We start from the raw sequence: 20,536 nt of genomic DNA, 5'->3' as shown, positions 1-20,536 counted from the left end.
CTGCTTCTACTCCCATGGGTCACCTTTTCTCAATAGTCCACCTCTGCATTAGTCTCTGTTTCCACCAGAGCAGTGTGATGGAGATCTCACCCACATAGGAGGGAATGATGGTGATGACGATAATGAAGAAGAAAAAAGGAATGACTACCGATTATTAAACACCAATAAGGTGCCAGGCCTCATGCCACATGTATTATGCCAGTTATATTTAGTGTTTAAAAACCCTGCAAGATATCATTCTCATCATTTTGCAGATAAAGATTTTGAAGTTCTAGTTTACTTGCCCAGAGTCAATGGCAAACCTAGCATTCACACAGAATTTGTTGGATTCACCAGCTCAAAACAAATCATTAGACCATCAATGGCTGTGGGAGCTAGTGAAATGTGTTCATCCACACCATTACTAAACAATGTTGTATTTGCTGTGCCTTCTCATAAAAGAAGACATATCCAGTAACCAAACAGAAACTTTCATGTTGCAAAATAAGTCTTTTGGTGAATAAGAAAACTTGGGAAACTGGTAATCTTTGTTCCTCTCCTAAACAAGTGATTGTGATTTTCGGCTGCTCTGAAGACAAATAACAAGGGACCGTACTCAAGGAAGCTTGGTGATGAGAATCATGGTGCCCAGGGTTTGTAGTACAACAGGAATCAAGACACATGGCTCCCACCAGAGAAAGACAGAGGCAGCAGCTTCCTATTCCCTGATAGCGATTCCCTCACCTTCCAGCTACTTTCATGGAAGCCCTTGGCACTCTGGGACAACACCTAAAAATGCATGAGATGTCCCTACTGAAGAATTCGCACCCACAATCTTTTATCTTGCCTTGATTCTATTTTTCTTTCAAACTTCCTCTTGTGGCTTCCTGCTCTCTCCCTCCCCCTAACTTGGCTTATTTTGTTTCTCTGGTTTCATTTCTGAAATTCCGATTCTTTAGTAGTTTTTGTCTCTGTATATTACTCTGTATTATTTCAACTGGCCACTCTTGCTTTGGCTAAGCAAAAATTTTTAACCCAAGTTATTCTTATTAATATAGTCAATAGTTTAGTGGACATTGGGTAGACAAAATTCATGAAATGTTTACTCTTTTTTTTTCTTTTCTTTTTTTTTTTTGAGACGGAGATTCGCTCTTGTTGCCCAGGCTGGAGTACAATGGCGCTACTCAGCTCACCGCAACCTCTGCCTACCCAGTTCAAGCGATTCTCCTGCCTCAGCCTCCCGAGTAGCTAGGATTACAGGCATGCGCCACCATGCCCGGCTAATTTTGTGTTTTTAATAGAGACGGGGTTTCTCCATGTTGGTCAGGCTGGTCTTGAACTCTCAACCTCAGGTGATCCACCCACCTTGGCCTCCCAAAGTGCTGGGATTACAGGCATGAGCCACCACCCCCGGCCATGTTTACTCTTTTTAATTCACACATATATTAGTGCAAAAGTCACTCTGACATAGAAACAACCCTAGATAAGAATTTCCATCCCTCCCTTTTTATGAGTTGAGTAGAGTTGGACATTATCTGAACCTCCTTGTGATCTTCTCTAAGGCAGAAAAGAAAACACTTTCTCCTAAAGTTATTTAAGATTGTTAGAATGTTGTAACATCACAATGCTAGCACCTGATGATGTGATTATGTGCTCAGCCACCCAGATTTTCTTTATCTCTTCCTTACTGTGTGCACACGATTGCACTGGGAGTTGTCAATATAACAAGTGGATAAAACAGCCTCTCCTCTCAAGAAGCTTATAAACCAGTAGAGGAAAAATAGCAGCTTCACTATATGTGGAAATAGCGGCTTCACTCTTAGAGTCAATTGTCATAATTCCCTAAACTAGAAAAGAAGAAGGCAATGATTCTTACAGGGGTAATCTGTAAAGGCTTTATCAGGAAAGATTTTTGCTAGGCCCCGAAGGATCGACACTGTTTCAGTAAGTGAAGATAGAGGAGAGAGCACTCCAGGGAAAGGTGTTGCCAGGAGCAAAGGTAAGGGAAAATTTCACTTCGTATTGATTAGAGGAAAAGTAATCCAGGTGGGCAACACAAAAGTGTATGTAAGGTGGTGAAATGGGGTGGATAAGTGGGATGGGTTGCTTTCGAGGAACGTAAGAGAAGAATGTGTGGTATACATATACCTGGAAATGTAGACCAAGACCAGTTGTGATGAGGCAGGTTAAATATTAACTTGGGAAGTTTGGACTTCATTCTATAATGATGAGAAAACTAACGCAGATTTTTGACCAAAGAAATGACATGGTCATGGCTTTATTTTAAGACAGCTAGGATGAATTGTAGAAGGAAGGAGGTACTGGGTACAAAAAGATTGGAGGTTTGGAAGAACACTATTACATGAATCTAGACAGATAGATAGTGAATACTTGAACCAGGGCAGTTGGCAGTGAGTGTGAGAATGCATTAGTGAGGGTTAAGGAACACGAAAGGATATAAACTAGTAGAGGAGACAGATGTGGAAATAGCAGTTTCATTCTTAAATCCATGCATGTGGTAAATTCATGCATGTGCTATTTTAATCTCTGTATCTCTAATTCCGTATTGCCCCCTCTATATGGGCCTTTCTGGAGCTCTGACTCTCCTCAATTCTTCTTTCCTCAGCACCTGTCCGTGACCGTCTATTGTTTGTGGAAACCCAGACACTGTGGGTCAATGCTCCCTCTCAGGTTGTTTGCCAGCAGCTAAGGGAAGGTCTAGGTCCTTTCTTCCAGAGCTTCTGTTCAGGTGAGAAAACAGCTTGCCTTGGAGCTGCTTGGAGAGAAGAGGTTTCAGGACTGCCTTTCAAGCCTGGCCTATTGCTCCTAGGCCTGTCTCCTTTGCTCCTCCAGTACTAAATAGTTCTGAATCCCCCTGGTCCTCCATCTGTCTGCATGTGTCCTAGATCTCCCTGGGCAGGGATTAAGTAATTGTGCCATTCCCATCAGCATGCCCAGGGGTCTGGCAGGAGGGAAGCTGCCGGCTGGCAGCAGTGGGCTGAGCAGGAGCCAGGGGATAGTCTGCTCCAACTCCCTGAGCAGCTTGCGGCTGTTCCCGGCCCTCAGTGGGCCAGCCACGTGCCTGCCTGCTTTGGATCTGCCTCAGCTCAGAGGCCAGCTCTCAAAGGAAGAGAGCGCACAGGCTTAGATCAAGGAAGAACGTTTTCCATTACCAGGATGCCCCTTCAGGTCTATCCCAATTGAAGAAACTAGACCCCCAGCATGCTTCCTTCCTGTTTCTCTGCCTCCACCTCCTTTCTCAGTGCCTAACCTTCTAGCTTAGTTCTTAACACTGAGTTAATAAAAGAAAGAACTCAGCCTGTAGAGTTGCCAATAATTAAATGATACAAAAAGTGTTTCCGTTTGACTTTAGAGTGCATTCAAATACATATGTCAAATTATATATATACACACATATGTGTATGTATTCAACATGTACTGAAGTGTATGTGTTTAAATATACATGTCTTCAAATATATATATTTATGGATATATATATATTTATGGATATATAGATAAACATACATCTATGTACCTTCATATATTTTTTTCAAATATGCATATATTAATATGTGTGTCTACACACACAAAGAAAAACAAAAATTAGAAACATGTCAGCTGACATGGAGAAACAAGCCTTATATACAATATTTTCTTTCCATAATCCTCAACAGAGATTATTCATATGGATAACTGAGAACTTACTGTATTTGTAATCAAGTAAACAATATAGTCAACATCTTCCTATTATTTCCAACTGAGGAAGGAAAAGGGGCAATTGTACAATTCTAGGAATAGCATAATTCCTCAATTTGATTTACAGTAAAATTATTTTAGCTCAACGTAGATTTAGGCCTTTTAATTGCTAAACATGTTAGAGTAGTTGTCTCTTGAGAATAAGATCATTGCCTAGAAAACTGTCTTCTAAATAGATAAACTGAAAGTACCCCAGTTCCTTAAGATAGCTGACCAGCAAGCAAACCACACAAGGCATCCAAACACCACCTTGATTTTAATGTTTTGTAGTCGATTTTTGCCTCATCTTTTAGCTTTTACTCAATCACTTATTCACTCTTTTTTTTCCAAGAGTGTGGGCATGTGCTTCTCTGCCAGAGAGAAAATGGACATTAGCTGCTCATGGAACTGTTAAAATATTAAGATGAGAGAAATTTCGGATGTCTAATGGCACAATCATCTCACTCTATAGATGAGAAAATAGAAGCTCAGGCACTTCTGAGATTTACATGACTTTCCATGTTCTCGTATTTATTTGCACATTTCTATGTAGGTTTCTACATCTGGAACCTACTTCAGTGGTTTATTTTGAAGACTGATTCAATATGGAGAACTTAACTTGATGACTTGTACATGGTAAAGATACTCAATAAACAGAAATTTCCTTTTCCCCTGAGTTTTTAGCTATTGGTTTCTAAAATCTTCCTGTTCACATTTAATAACTGAATTCACTTACTTACATGTAAGGCGTTGACCAAACATCTTTATTATCATGTGTATTCTGACAGCTATGACAGAGTTCCTTAGCTATGACAGAGTGGCTTAGTTCCTGGCCTAGAGGAAATTCTCAGTAACTATTACTACTTGAAAAAATTAAATTGAAATCAAGTACATAGTAACATATATTTGTGAGGTAATAGTATTCTTTCTCTACATAGTCTTAAGCCAGATGACAGCAAAGAGCTACTACAAGGCTCCTTTTAGCTCTATGCCAACTTTTAGAAAAGAAAGAAAAATTCAATATTTCCTATATTCTGAATTCAGAAAGTTTGCCTTTGAAGATTTCTGTGTGAACTATCCCCATGAAGAGTTGGAAAATGTCATGTCCAATGTATGGAATACTGGTCAATAGGCTTGGATTTTGTCGTTGGCTCCAGTAAATTATGTACTGTTTAAATGAAAAGAATCTATTGTTTTCTCTGGTTCTCAATTACCTCACCTATTCTCACTCTACTCCCAGTAATAATAATAACAATAAGAGTAAAGTGCTTCCCAGGTTCCAGAACCTCAGATAAACACTTCACTGCTATTATCATCATTTTTAATCCTCATACAACTCTATGGATTGGTGGTATTGTATGCCCTTTTTATAAAGAAGAAAACTGAGACAGAGACGTTAAATAAATTGCCTAGGACTTCTCAGCCAGTTAACTTCAAATCTAAGTCTATCTGACTCCATAATTCTATGGACTCCCTAAGCCTGCTGTTGTCACCATCAGCACTCTCCTGGCCATATATTGGAGGCAAATAGAAAAGGTAACATGATTGTAATCAAAGAATAATTAATAGAACATAGATGGTAATAATTACCATTTGCTAAATACTTGCTATGTGCTTCAGATGTATTATCTCAATTAATTCACCATGATAAACCTGAAGGGAAGGCATTATTATGATTGCTATTTTCAAATTGATCATTACACATTGTGTGCATGTACCAAAAATCACGTTATACTGCATAAATATGCACAATTATTATGTGTCAATTAATAAAAAAGCCAAAGGGGGGAAATGTAGAAAAAATGTTAGCACCTATAAAACTATTTTTTGTTTATAAAAACTTAAAAAAATCAAGAAAACTGAGCCTTTGCAGGGTTAATCAATTTAACAAAGGTCATTCAATCAGTAAGTGGCATAGCTTAAGTACTATTTATTTCATTCTAAAGCCAGTGCTTGCAATTACTACACCAAACTATACTCCAAATTTATATAGATTTTTAAAATAATCTTGAAGATAGGATGTTTCTATGTTGATAGAATATTTTGTTATTTTCATATCCATAATTCCCCTTTAAAACATTTTTCTTAAATTCTAAAGATATGTGAGATTAAAGCTTGAAATGGATTTAAGCCTTCTCAAAAATGGGTACTTTCAAGCAACAAGGCATTGGTTTGTGATCTGGCCTACACTATGTGGTCTACCTGGGCAAAGTCGAATAGAAAATTGAGCTTCTATCAAGGGAAAGATGGCCTTCTTTCAGATTCTGTTGCAGAATGTGGACGTGGGTCAGCCTGGGTCATAGATGTAACAGGGCGTCATATGTAAAGGACAATTTGAGGGGTGTCAAATAGTAATTCCACTTTCGCTGGCTCCAGCATTGCACAGATATGACATCCTCATATACCTACCAGGCAAACAGCTACTGAGGATCATTTCAAATCTTCTGGATAAACCCACTAGCTCAAATCAATCCTGGTTCCACCAGGATTTGTTTAGTTTCACTAAACTAAACGGATTAGTTTCCTAATCTGTGAAATGGGAATACTAATATTGACCGCCTTATGGGAGTGGCTTTAGAATTGAATGAATTCATACGTGTAAGACACTTAGAAATGTAACATTACGTAGTAAGCATCCACAATCTGCTAGATGGGGTTGTTGTTATCTGTCCGTTTCTATTTGCCCCTCTGGACCATTCTTTGCAAGGTAAAGATTCTTCTAATGTGTCAAATGACATGTGTACATAATCATTTATTTGATATTGCAAGAGATGGAAAAAAATCTAAATTATGGGACTCAATTTCATAAATGATGTTATTTTAGTATGGAATGCTAGCCAGTTATAACAAAGAATTAAGAAACTTTTATTTAAAATACCCCAAGATTTGTGGTTAAATGTAAAAAAACAATATGCAGAAATGTGTTATATTGTTACCACTTGAAGGAAAAAAGAGAATAATACACCTTAATATTTGTACCTAATATTTGTTTATATATCCATAAAAGGTCTCTGATAACTAGTAAGCTAAAAAAAATGTTTAAGTATTTTCTAGTTGGAGAGTGGGAACTGGAAGATGGAAGATAGGGGTGGAAAGATAAGTTTTATGCTATATTTTTGTTTCTTAAATATTTTAAGTCAAGTCCCTACCTTGATTAACTAACTTTTCTATTTATATTTATTATTAATAATATCATTACTATTATTTCTTTATTATCATCACTTTACACATGCAAGAAGGGATCCTGGAAAGTTTTAACTAGAGAAACCTGAAAGAAAAAAATCAAGAGGAAGAGTTGCCAAAAAACATATTTCATAATTTTTTTGAAAAGTTGTTCAGCCCACCTACTTTGGATAATAGCACATCTTCCCATTTATCTGTGGTTTGATTGCTTAGACTGCCCATAGCCCTGTAATCTGTAAGATTATTTTTTCTTAACTGTAGATTTTATACTTGATTATATGAGTGGCAGAGACCAGTGCTTCTAGACTTCTAACTGCATATTTCGAATATTCTAGCAAGATCAATTGAATTACGGGATGTGTAAATCCTCCTGACAGACCAGTCTTTGCTCAGCTAGCTGCTTGTAGGACATAGAGCCCAAGAAAATGAATAAATGAGAGTGAATGAAAGATCTGAAGACTAACAACACAGCACAACACAACATCTAATAAGACTTACAGCTTTATTTCTGCTAGGAAAAAGGGAGGAAAAACAGTCATATTTTAAACAAAATATTTAAACAATTATTTTACTTTATCTAAAAAAGTCTCCAGAAGAATGAGACCACCCTATGTTGGAGAGCAGGCTCTTTACAAGCTATTGCATTCCTAAATTTTAATTCAATTATAAAATCCCTCTGTACAATTTCAGGGAGGCTTGGCTCATGGGTACCATACTCCCCAAAGGCATAAACAGCAGATTATTAAAGAATAACTCTGGCTCATTTTAGACTGAAGAAAAGACTCTAAAAACATTAACTTGCATAGCCATTCGAATTATTGCTGCTTTTTATAAAAATTATCACAGAGGTAATTCTCTATTTTTTCCTTTCCCCTCACTCCAAAACTCAGCAGTTCTTAGCAAAATTATGAGCTACTTTCCAAATAAAATTTTAGGAAGGGTTTGCAAGCACATCTATGGGGCTAAAGGAATTTTCGTGAAAGGAAGAGAGAAATAAATTAAATAAATAATATCTAATAAATAACTCAAACAACAGTGATTATCTACAAACTTAAATGCCAGAAAATGCTAGCTTCGAGGATAGACCCTCCTACAGCCGCTCACAAAGGTAAGTGCAGTATATACTCAGAAAGCACATAGTATGGCTTTATATATCATTTTACTTGCCTATTTCCTCTAGGGCAGATTGTGATGAAGGGAACCACTTTGGTGACTGATGGGGCTTAAGATCTCTCTGCAAGGCTACTTTCAAGTGAATTTACAAACCAAGGGTGCAAAATACAGCAGGGTAAGTGCTGAGAGCAAAATGGAAAAAAAATAACTTATACTGTATGGAGATAATAAATAAGAGAGGTAAACAGACAAGATACACATATAGTTGGCAGATTTTAGGGGATAGCTGAGCTATAGAAAATGACATACTAATATGTGTTATCATTTTTTAAATTGGCCCTATTGATGTACCCTGCATGTTAAACTTATCCTTTCTGGCAGGAGCAGGACCTAATCTACTATCAAATAAGCCATTCAGGCTCTGGTTTGACTTAAATAACTGTCCTGGCTGATTGAACAAGATAGGAAAATTTCTCAGGTCCCATTTTCTGAAAAAAAATACAAATTTGATGAAGTTAGCATTGATATAAAGGAAAAAGGAGTTACATAAAGAAAAATAAACACTCTGCAAATTGGGTTAAACCTGTGATGAAGACATAGTTGGTAAAAATATTCACCAACCTTGGATTTCATTTCTGCATCCTTAAGTTTGGTCACCTGAAATGTTATTTACAATATATAATAACATATTCTATCTTAGAAGTGAGGAAGAGGTAACAATTAGTGTAGGGGGAGAGATAAGGAACTACATATATGTTGGAAAAATTTAACCTTGATCAATAAATTGATTGGTGCTTGTGCTTCTGGAAAATATATTGGTGTGGACAGAGGTGGATGGTTTTAATCACGTTTAACCAAATGAAATTCATCTTGCTTAAAAAAAAATCCATTGGTTTTTCCCATGGGCAACTGTGAGCTGGAGAGAGTCCCTGAACTATAGTAGTTATTATAGCCAATAGCTATTTTATTGCTCTTTAATATAAACCTGTGTTGTGTGCTGATTCTAACAGCAGCACCTGAGCTTCATCAGAAGTTCCAGAGCCCTCTGGTTATGGAGGTCATGGTCTAAAAGACTTCTCTATGTCCCATTAGTTATAGGAGTCTGAGGCTTCAGTGACTTGTTTGCCCTACCTCTAGTACTGAGAAAAATGGTTTTGAAATATTATCAAGAATAAAGTTGGCATGAGGCCTCTATTATGGTTCTCTATTATGGTTCTTCAAATCATAAGGAAGATATGTTCAACTTTTAGTCTAATAACAAATAGAGTTAGTCTCTTAACGAACATGTTTTGTTCTTCACAGTGACAGCCATGTTAGACTTTTAGCTTCCAGAAGCTATTTTTCAATAGATACAAAGAGGTCCTATCATTAAATCCAAACAAGCTTTGCATTCTGTGAGCCAAGAGACATGTACCTTGTGATCCCTCTGATAATTCAATTTGATCATTCTATGCATAGCATCCCTTTCCTATTATTTCTCTATTCTTTCAGTTTCAAGAAATTGTCAAGAGTGATCACCACAGTTATAGCATTTCAGAACTGTGAAGGACTTTAGAAATCATCTGGACTTAGAATAGTTGCCTCATATAAATACAATTTGTTTATTTACAATTGCTAGTAAATAAACAAAGGCCAGAAATGGAAAATTAATTGGCACAGATTATGCAATGAGTTTTTGGCACCACTGGAATAGGGCCCAGGTCTTCTGTTCTATTTTCACATGGTTGTTAAATCATCAAATATTTTCACTTGAGGACTCTATAAAGAAATCAATGCAATGTGAGAAGGTGATGAGAAAAGAGGTGATAGGTGAAGGAAAGCCTAAATGGACTTGAACTATTGTTTGATATATATCCATAGGGATCCTTTAAGGTCATTGAATCTTTAGCTCAACCACTTGAATTATGGAAAATGTCTCCACGTCATTCTCTGAAACATTGAACTTAACTGCCTCACTCAGTGAAGACTGTATTGAGTTGGGTCCCAATACCATGATGGGGGTAGGAATCATAGGACATGTCTATAGGAACATCATAACGGGGGGTACCAGCCTGAAAAGGAGTTGAATGCACATGCCCTGAGCTTAGACTTGAAGAAGGGTAATGTGGCATGAAGCTGTAGGATTTTTCTAGGTCAGGAGACCCATCTTGCTTCAAGGAGAAGTTCCCACTGATGCTCAGGGGTGGAGTGAGTGGGCCCTCATAAGGGGGTGTACTGCAGTCAGGCAGATGGCTCCCAAAGGACGATTCTCCCAAACTCTTGAATACTTGGGGCTTGAGATGAAGGAGATGTGTTTCCATATGACCATAAGGAGGGCTAGGAAGCCCCGGAGACTGATAGTTGAAGTTGTGGACAGAGATGGCAGAGTCACAAATAGGAGATTTATCCTCGTGCTTCTCCAGGAGGACAGACTGAGGGCCCAGTTGGAGACATCCAGCCACCAGGTTGCTTGTGGGCTGAGAGAGCCCTTTACACAGCATCTCCACAAAGCCTTTCCCTTCAGGTGTCTGGCCAGTCTCCAGGACTTCAGATAAAGCCCAAATATAGTTCCTGGCCAGTCTAAGAGTCTCTATCTTGGAAAGTTTTTGGGTTTTAGAGTAGCATGGCATGACTCGCCTCAGGTTATCCAGGGCGTCATTCAGGCCATGCATCCGGGTCCGTTCTCTGGCATTAGCCTTGACTCTTCGAGCCCTGAATCTCTCAAGGCGAGCTTTGGTCATCTTCTTTTTCTTGGGACCCCTTCTCTTAGGTTTCTCCCCATCTTCTTCCTCTTCTTCTTCTTCCTCAATACTGTCATGCTCTTCAGTTAAGCTGCTGAGCATCCCATAAGTACCTGGTCTGCTCTCTTCCTCCTTCACCTCATTTTGGGAGCCCAGACCTTTATCCATCCAGGATGGTGTGTTGACTAGCTCTCCCATCTCCTTGGATTTTACAAAAGTTTTTGACATTTCCAGACTCTGGAAAAGGGAAATATCAAAGGTTAATTCCTGTGAGTACCTGATTTTATTTGAAACTAAAGTTTTTTATATGTAATTATCTTGTCCAAGTCTTCCATTCTAAATGACCAGTCCAAAACTGAAAGAAATTCCCAGAATACTCCTTTAGTTATGGCATAGTATAAGAAAATATATTATAGAAAAAGAAAATTGACTTGATTATTCATTGCAGTGTTAGTGCCTGTTTTTATTCTTAGATTTTTTATCTCATGAATATTTTATACAAAAATGACTGATATACCAGTCCAAAGATATATTTTTCTTTCTTTCCAGAATCCAGAACATAAAAGGGAAAAAATGAGGTGAGTATATAAATTACTGTCCAAGTAGAGAAATTTCTGAAAGTGAAAGAGCATGCTAAAAATAAGTCTATGTGTGTAATAATTATTGTTACTACAAAATAAAAAACCCATCAAATAGTCAAATAAGCACACTGTTGTATATTTACACCATACAAAATAAAAAACTGTAGCAAGATCATTCAGACTACTTTGTATGTGTTCTACAAAAGACTACTCAACCTGTATTTAGAAGCATTTCACATCCATCTAGCCTATAATACCCGATGTTTCTCACCAGTATTGCTAACTGGTGGCCTCAATCATCTCCTTCAAGTTGTCCATGACACAACTGGCTGGTCCAACATGTGACCATCAAACATTACTCTCACTGGCTGGTCCAACACGTGACCATCAAACATTACTCTCACTATCACCAGAGGAGCATTCTGTTTTTCAGTAAGCACTTTGTGTTCTGTCTAGTGTGAGTTATGTTAGAAGTGTTAGTGACATGGCATCTTGAAAGGATCATGAAAAGAAAGGAGGGTTATCACTGCTCATCTTTCAAATTTGCCCATATGTTAAAGTGAGATCTCTTTGCACATGCATCTCACACTGTCAGACAAGACAATGGCAACAGCTAGGAGTGCAGCCAGTGGTCTACCAAACCCATCCAAGGTTTAGTACAACTACTATAATAATACTTTATTTAAAATGAAAAATCTGGAACAAATACTAGTGGAACTAGTGGAACTAGTGGAACAGAACATAGTGACTGCTAACACAAGTGAGGACTATTTCAGGCAAACACAGGAATAGCCTGACTACTTTAATTCACTAACACACTGTTTAATCAGAATTTTGTATGCAAAATTCACTATTTGAAAACCAGAAGAGACTAGTGATTTAGTAAACATTTTGCATTCAATTCTGGAAGAGTTTGAATTGTTTTAAAGTTTGCTAAGCAATTTTTAGGCATATGGTTTACCAAATAAAAGTATCTGATAAGCTCCATTGGGGCATCCCAGTTTACCAGCTACTCTTTGAAATATTAAACCCACTATCACCTTTTATTATGAGAAAGAGGAGAATGTAATAAATGTTTTCTGTTCTTTGATGCTTGAGCCTCAAATCAATGAACCCAGGGATTAGTACATAGCTTTTAAAAATAAAGATATATTATTTGATTTGTTTCTGGTAATTGGAGCTTGTTTTCCTTGTAACCTCATTTACCTCCTATAAATAATTAATGTAACTGCATTGCGAAAGCAGCCTAGGTTTCATGTTAATCAGCACGGAAATCATGTCAGCTTGACTTACTCACTTAATAAGGCTTCCTGGGTAAGCAGCTTTATTGAAAACACACATTGGAACTTATTGGTCAACTAGCTGCCCAGGCCAACTCAGAAAATCCCACTTTTAATATGGATGATAGAGCTTGTGTGCTGAGCTGCACTTCTAACTCAGGCAGATATCCAGAGGGAGGGTAAAGAACCTAATTAACTTTCTGTTAAAGTAACACAGCTCTTCCAGAGGCAGGTGCACTCTAAGGCCAAAAAGGATGGAGTGGGCTTGGGAAACCTAATGCTCCCCATGTAATTATAATAACATTTGTGTAGCATTTTAAAGTTTACAGAGCACTTTTGTATCCATTAATTCATATGTTTCTTATAGAAAACCTTTGAGGGAGATAGAAATTTTTATGCTCATTTTATACTCAAGGTCACTGTGGGTCAGGTAGTTTAAGTGATGGAAATGCAAAGATATAGTTCTGGTGGAGTGGGACATAAAATTAATTCTTCTTATTTTACATCTTAGGTTTTATGTTTTTATTTTCCTTGTTCTTCTTCTATCACAGCTATAGGAAGAAAGAAAGGCACTTTGGCTTCAGGAGATGTACAGCAATAGAAATGAGTCAACAGGAGTGATCATCATCCAAGAGATCATCATCTCTTCCTCATCCTCCCCCTTTTTCTCCTTATCCTCATTCTCTTATCTTCATTATCATTATGATCACTGGCTCATACTGAGATGCATGAAAAGGAGAGAAGGAAGGAAAGAAGGAAGGTGCAAGAGAGGAGAGTCTCCTGAATTGTCCCTGGATCTGAATACCATCCTAGGTGGGGGATTTAGCCTTTTTCACCATCCCTACCTCTATACCTCTGGACTCTTTTTAAGATCTGTCAATATTCACACACATCAAAATAAGTGAGATTGGGAGGATAGAATAGACCATCTTTTACTTCTAACATATTTAATGGTTTCTGTAAGAGTCAAGGAGCTGCTTTCAAATCAGCTTGTTGGTGGGTATAAAGGAAAAGAATCAACTGGCTTTGGCCAAAGTAATGAAAAGGTCAACCAGTTTTCTTTCACCTTTGTTCTCTTACTAATCATGGGAAGGACACAGATGGCTCCAGTTTAACTTCCTCTGTTCTCACAGGTGCCGGTCCATTAACTTCCAAGAGAATCCCATGAGTATATAGTATGGTTTCAAAAGAATGGAAGCTAGAATAACACAAATGTGAACTCTAGTCCCAATTCTTCTAATTCCTGGGTTGTTGATCCCAAACACATTATATAAAGTTATCTGTTCTTCCATTTCCTCTAATAAAATAAGGCTAACATACAGGTTATGTGATTCTTGTAAGAGAAAAATATAATAAAAAATTTTATAGCTGTAAATGCTATAAAACATCTATACATTTATTTCCTGTTTATTCTTGGGTTTTCTTATCTAATCTATTCACACACGTTTGCTTATTCAAAAATAAAAATTATTTCTCACAGATGAATAATAAAACAGACTGTATCAACTAGTGTGTCTCTTATTATCTGGATATTACCTCTGATTGGTTTAGAAAATCATCTGACAGTTACTCAGTAGCCTATCATTTTTCCCATGGTGGGATAGATAGCACAGACTCCAGTGTCAGATTACCTGGATTCAAACTTCAGCTCCACTACTCACTAGATACATGAATTTAGGCCAGTTTCATAACCCTTATCTGCCTCAGTCTCCTTCTCCTTAAAATGAGAATAATAACAGTCCTACCTCATAGGATTATTAGGAGCATAAAATGAGTTGATATATTTGAAGCATTTTGAATAGTGTCATACAACATGAATTTCATGTTAAGTTTTAGGTATTGTTCTCCTAAACATCACCATGAATTTTTCTGGCCACTTGGACAAGAATAGGTATAATTAGAATCTGTTATTAATATTGATTTTGCATCAACAAAAGCCAATGGCTTCATTTCAACATCTATTTGAAAAAATTCCCCAATACACCTACTCCTCCAGTCTCCTATTGAAACTGAAATCAAAGTTTCTGTTCTGTAGCAAGAGGTAAGGAAACCAAGCCCTATCAACTGCCTCCACTGAGTTGACTAGAACTCTTCCATCATATTCAAGATGGAAGTTAGCTCCCAAACTTTCACTCTGTTTTATAATTGGGAGAAAACAGTTAGCTTGACACTCCTATTCAATCACATACATTTTCAGATTCATGAACCTTCTGTATTGCGAATACAATTTTTCCCACCAAAACCAAATGGCAGAGCTCTGAGGATAATATGCAGTGTCTATCAGAGAGAAGTGAAAGCAGTGAAAGCCAAGACTCCTGAAATATAAAGAAAAATGTTTATCTGACTTTTTTCACCTAAATATTTTCAATGCATCAAAAAGGTTAACAGGAAAAAAATAGAAACATCTAGTTTTAAATTTGAGTGTTGAAAATATGTGTACTGTGATCACACATACTGATCACAACAAAAGTTGTGATCAAAGAAACCAAGGGTTGTCTCCAGAACAGGTGCCTAAATCTAATGTTGCTTTCAGCCTGTTAAGGAACCATCTCACAGGTGTACTGAAAGAAGCATGGAACCAAGACTGTTTCATCATTCACTCATTAAAGGAGCACAGAAAAATTATTGTAATTATTGTAATTTTTGTACCCTTAGGGCAAAATGAAAATAAGATTGTCTTTGCTACATCATTTAGAAGTTTTCATGAAAAATAAGGAGATAATGCAAGCACAAGTACTTTGTAAAATTGTTATGCCAATGTGAGGGTTGGCAATTGTTTTACAGAAGCTGTTTGAGAAAGTCTGTAGCACTATCTCACAAAGCATCATGATATACCATCTTAAGGTTGCCTCAATTCCTAGGAAAGAAATTAGCTCACAAATTACATAGGAAATAGGCTCGAACATGACAAAAATCAATGAATACTGGCTCAAGGGGCAGAATCTGGCCCTTCCCTACACATACACATAAACACATTCTGGTCTTATAAAGTCCATTTTTAGCCATTTGGTATTTGGATTTTCTTTTATACCTACACAATATAACAGAATTTTCCTCGTTCTATAGGGTCTTTCAGTGAAATTTCAAGTTTGGCCAATTCTCTTTAATTCAAAATATTTCTCATATTTTTAAAAATTTTAAATCTGTTCTAGCAAAGTGTTTGCTTAGGCAATGATTGTTACTACTGAATATTTTTACTACTAGGGCCAAAGTCGTTAAGCATTACTACTATGTGAAGCTATCCTGGAATTCTTTCTACACTTTTACAAATTTTTTATTTATTGTGGAGATATTTCAACTAATTAATAGGTAAGGGGAACTCACATGTGGATTTGTGGTAGTTAGATGGTGTCTTTCCTCTTAAAAGCTGGTGATAATCTCTTTACCTCCTGATCCGATGACTAAATACAACAGAAAGGGGGCTGTCCAGCCCAGTTTCTAGGAAATCTAAGAACTAAATAGACTAAATTCTTTTCCCAGAGTTGCACAGTCTTGGCACTAAAAAGACAGAATCCAAATCAGGATGTTCACAAGTTGTACTGCTTGGAAAAAGCCAGTAGTTTGCTCTATGCTCTTCTTTTCTACTCTACTATTTTCCCCTTTATTAATATATGTGCACATGTATGTACATGCATGCACATACACACACATTTTGTCCAGCAAAGCCATGTAATACTTCAGGTGCCATTGCCTCAGATCTTAATAGTTAACAGAAGTTATTCAGTCCCTTATTTTTCCCTGCATGTTCTTCAGCATTTCACCTCTGCTTCCTCTGTCAAAAAAATGGGGGTGGGTATTTTACATTTAATTAGTATTTTCTGAGTATACTTTTTTTGCGGGCAAATGATGAGTGTGAAGCAGAGAAAGGAAAAATATACTTGGACAATCTTTTTCTTCTAATTTCCCATCTGAAAGAGCTGAGGAAAAGGAAATTTCCCCCACCCTGTGCCAACTATTCAAGCATTTTTAGTAAACAAAATAGTTAATGGTGAGAATCTACCCCGAGGATTTTCCACAATCTTCTCTGATTCCTCATTCTGTTTTCCTTTCCCTGCCTCCCCCTCCGTCCTTGCATAGCCCTAAAATGCTGTGAGCAGAGTGGTGGATTGGGTCAATTCTTCCAACCTACTTGCTGGGCCACCTTGGAAAAGCAGTTAAACTTTTCGACATTTTCACCACTAACAAAATGAAAGAGTGGCTTTGACAGGAATTGGGGGAGATCATCTGTATTCTTCACTTTATTAAAATGATTGTGAGTGTCTATGTGTTTCACTTTGGGTGGCAAGTGCTATAAAATTTAATAAAATTATTTAAAATGTTTATATTTGTCCCTAAGTGTTCCAACTCACTAGCTTCTACATTCCAAGTTTCCTAAATCTCACTTCCTCCTGCCTTACCCAGAAGAGACTTTCCTCACCCCAACTGCTCCTCTAGGTGAGTGGGAACTTCCCACAGAAACTTTAGCCCCCTTACCACCCCAACCACTGGCTCACCTCGGTCACTGGCCGTTCCTGGAGTGAACTCTGTGAATCTGCGTCTTAGAGGACAGTCAGAGAAGCCAAGTCTCCCTGACCATCCAGATGGTAGAAGAGACGCTTTCAGCGATCCATGTCAAACCCGGTTGTTACCTCTTAGAGATTCCACCGGGTCTGGTTTCTCTGCCTGCTCCTTATTCTACTCCTTCCTTGGAGTTCCGTATGCTCCTCAAGGACGCCTTCGGGCTGATCTCTCCGCTGCAGCCAGTTTAGTCGCTCTTCAGTACCTCCTCTCCCTGGTTAGCTCCCCGGAGAGGAGCTTTCAGGACCACAAGCCTCTGGGCAGCTCCTGCTCTCTGGCCGGAGCCTCTGACTTGCTGCAGTTTTGATTGCTCTCCCAGCTGACCAGGGAGGAGTGATGTTGCCCAGAGTCTAACTCCTCCCTTTTCCCCAGCCGAAAGACACGCCCACTTGAAAGGCTCCTCCGGCCAGGTCCAGTTTTGCCGCCCGTTTGTTTGTTTAAATAGAGATGGGGGTTGGTGGAAGGGGAGCAGGGGAGGAGAGTTGCTGAAGTTAAGGAGTAAAGAAAAAGAGGACTGGAAACCTTTGTGATTAAAAAGATAAGAAATGGGAGCGGAGTAGTGTGGACAGAATGGAGAAAGAAAATTGGGGATAGACTTGGAGAGAGAGCTAAAAAGGGCAGATGACGCTGCTGACCCACGTCTGAAAAGAATCAAAAGGTGAGAAAGATGCGTGTCAAGGACACAGCATCAGTGGCTGCTTCCTTACACATGTGGACTGGGGTCTTTGGCTTATAAACTTCAGCGTTCTAAAAGTAGAAGGAAGAAGTATGTCTCTCCCACCTTTTCAGCACGTCAAAGCTACTCTCATTAAAACTTTTAATTTGTGAATTTAGGTGAAGCTATATTTGTTGTGCTATTCTTTCAACTTTCTGATCACTTTAAATTTATAAAAACAAAAAGGAAATTAATAAAATCCTTCATTTTAAGGGCAGTTAGTTCCTTGAGTTACAAACTGAGATCTACTATTGTTTTTCAAAAATACATCATTAAGCATTCACGTAGAAAAAGTCCACCTGAGTAGTAATAAGCTTAGAAGAAGAGAAGGCTCATAATAATTCCTAAAACTCCTTTGGTATTAGGAGGTTGAATTAAATTGCTAGAAGACAGAAAGAAAACTACATCTGGAATAATTTAAGTATATAGATATTCATACTATCTTATTTAAAACTACACCAAGGAAAAATAAATGATTGTGAACTTAAGATACCAAAGATTTTCTAATCATCTTGTGTTTCCAAGAAGGAAAAAGAAAGGTGCTCAGATTAAGCAATTGGCTGAATGATCTTGAATAAGTCAACTTCACTCTGGGCATCAGTTTTCATATCTGTAAAATGAGTTTTTCCATCAGTAGCCTGATAGAGTTACGAATCCAAGTTCAACTTCTTTTAGAAATTGACTTGAAGGATAATTCCTCAGGCGTTTTGGCAAAAGGCAAAACATTTATACAATCTGAAAAGAAACCAGAGTATCCCCAGCTTTTTGAGAATCGCGTGGTCTAACAACATAACTAGCACATGCGTCAAACAGAAATGAAAAACTATTAATATGCCTGTGTGCAAGGAAAACTGTAGAGGGCTGAAACAAAAGATAGTTTCACTGCTCATAAAGTTGAAAAGAGTATCTTAAGTTTGAAAATAGTTATTTTTAATTCTGATATGTGTCATATGACTCTTGTTTTTCACAGAAAACAAGAAAATAAAAATTAACACTTTTTTCAGTTTTCATGGGAAGTTATTTATTTTCAGCAGCTCTTTAATCTCTTACTTATCTTTATTTGTATCCCTATCCAGAAAAATATCTGCTCAGGAAAATAAACTTCATTTTCAGAATAATTAAACAACACATGATGGGAATAGCAGATCTCTAAAAAACAAATCAGAATTCACTCCTCGGCCACAGGAAATTTATCTATGAGGTAATTTATGTCTAGGATAGAGGTGCTTAATCATTGTTCAATGAGCGCTTACTGAATGAATTGATCTCCTGCTTTGTGTCTTCAAAGCCCTGTCCATGGATATTTAGAAGTTGATGGCACTGATGCCTGTGAAATTTTCAGGGGCAGGGAGTAATAGCAGATTAGCAGAAAGGTGAACATATTGAGACAAAGATGAGGGTGGGGATAAAACATTCTGCAGGATTCCTTGCTTTCTCTGACAGATGTAAGGGACTGGACACAATAGGATTAGCCTTCAAAATACATTCGTGTGTGTGTGTGTATGTGAGTGCACACACACACATACACAAGCGTACATGAACGTGCACACCCCTGAAGAATGGGGAGGGAGTTGTGAATGCCAAATTTTCTTTAAGAGCTGCTTTTTGCAGAGGGATGGGTTGAATCTATTTCATCAGGGTCACCCTCGTCACAACTCATTGACAGTTGTACAGTTGGCTGTTCAACTTTGAGAGGGCAGGAAGGGGCAGGAGGGGTGTGTGCTGTCAGCAAAGGAAAAGGGGTGGTGACTGCCCTAGGAAAGGAGAATACAAGGCATTTGCATGCATTCTCCTCCCCCCACATGGTTCCTGGGCCAGAGGGCCAATCCCCAGCCCTTCCTTCTTTCTCTGCTGCTTTTTATAAAGCTCTGAGCTAACCTGTAAGAACCATCTGCTGAGTGGGGAAAAGGAGACCAGTACTCAGTTGCTGGCCCACAGGCCTAACGCCCGGGAGCCATTGAAGCAGAGAGAGGGGAGGCAACAGGCAGATTTATGAGCAGCAATCTGTTCCCCCCCTCCCCCAAGGACCCTTTGCCAGGAGACAGCCTGATAATCCATCAACCCCACTAATGAATTAATTAGTATTCCCAGTAATCCTGACCCCCAAAGGAGACCTGCCTGTGGGCCCCTAAGCGGGGTAGAAACTGCCTTCTTCAGTCAGACACTGAAGACCTGAAACCAATGTCTGACATTAGGCCCCAGGGTGCTAAGCCTCAAGCCACGGATCCTGTTGCTGATGGTCCCCAGATGTCTCTCCTTCTCACCTTCCCATCGGAGATCACTAGCTTCTGCTGAATTAAAATCAAATGCGACCAACAAATGGAGTCCAGGGACATATATCAGGAACTGTAGCGAGCAAGAAGGTGGACTTCCAAGGAAGAAATGATTCGGGCTGCCCATCTTCAGGTTAGACTTGAGCAGAACCTAAAGTTGCTCTCCAAGTTTTAGGCACTGGGGCCTGGGATGGGGTTGGGATGGGGTGAGGGCTGGGGGAGAAGGTAAATAAAACATAGTCCTTGACCTCGAGAAGTTCAGCGTTCCAGTAGGGAAATAATACAGGTTCAAAAATAATTGTGAAACAGGTTAAAACAAAAAGTGATTTGTGACATGAACCTCTCCTGCATAACGACTAGAGAAAAACACAGAGGTGTCAGTTGGGTTTATGAATAGTTT

The 20,536-nt window shown here is 38.3% G+C and overlaps 1 protein-coding gene and 1 long non-coding RNA gene across 5 annotated transcripts; one reads left to right on the top strand and one right to left on the bottom strand.

Moving 5' to 3' along the window:
• The first annotated feature begins 1,641 nt into the window (after positions 1-1,641).
• Positions 1,642-13,910, top strand: LOC101927484 (uncharacterized). Of its 4 annotated transcripts, XR_245988.3 has the most exons (6): positions 1,658-1,978; positions 2,606-2,728; positions 8,078-8,185; positions 11,280-11,308; positions 13,143-13,404; positions 13,725-13,910. It is a non-coding gene; the product is annotated as an uncharacterized LOC101927484 (long non-coding RNA). The 4 variants fall into 4 exon arrangements; XR_245987.4 differs by having other exon boundaries at positions 1,642-1,978; positions 13,143-13,910; XR_944985.1 differs by having other exon boundaries at positions 8,083-8,185; positions 13,143-13,910.
• On the bottom strand, positions 7,381-17,424 carry NEUROD4 (neuronal differentiation 4). Its single transcript, NM_021191.3, has 2 exons — positions 17,085-17,424; positions 7,381-10,967 (listed from the first exon to the last, which is right to left on the bottom strand). The coding sequence occupies exon 2, from the start codon at positions 10,956-10,958 to the stop codon at positions 9,963-9,965; it is 996 nt and encodes a 331-aa protein (NP_067014.2). The 5' UTR covers positions 10,959-10,967; positions 17,085-17,424; the 3' UTR covers positions 7,381-9,962.
• Between the last annotated feature and the right edge of the window lie 3,112 nt (positions 17,425-20,536).

The sequence above is a fragment of the Homo sapiens genome, chromosome 12 (assembly GCF_000001405.40).
Source record: "Homo sapiens chromosome 12, GRCh38.p14 Primary Assembly".
NCBI lineage: Eukaryota > Metazoa > Chordata > Mammalia > Primates > Hominidae > Homo > Homo sapiens.
The sequence above is the reverse complement of the archived record's forward strand: the minus strand, read 5'-3'. Positions and strand labels throughout refer to the sequence as shown.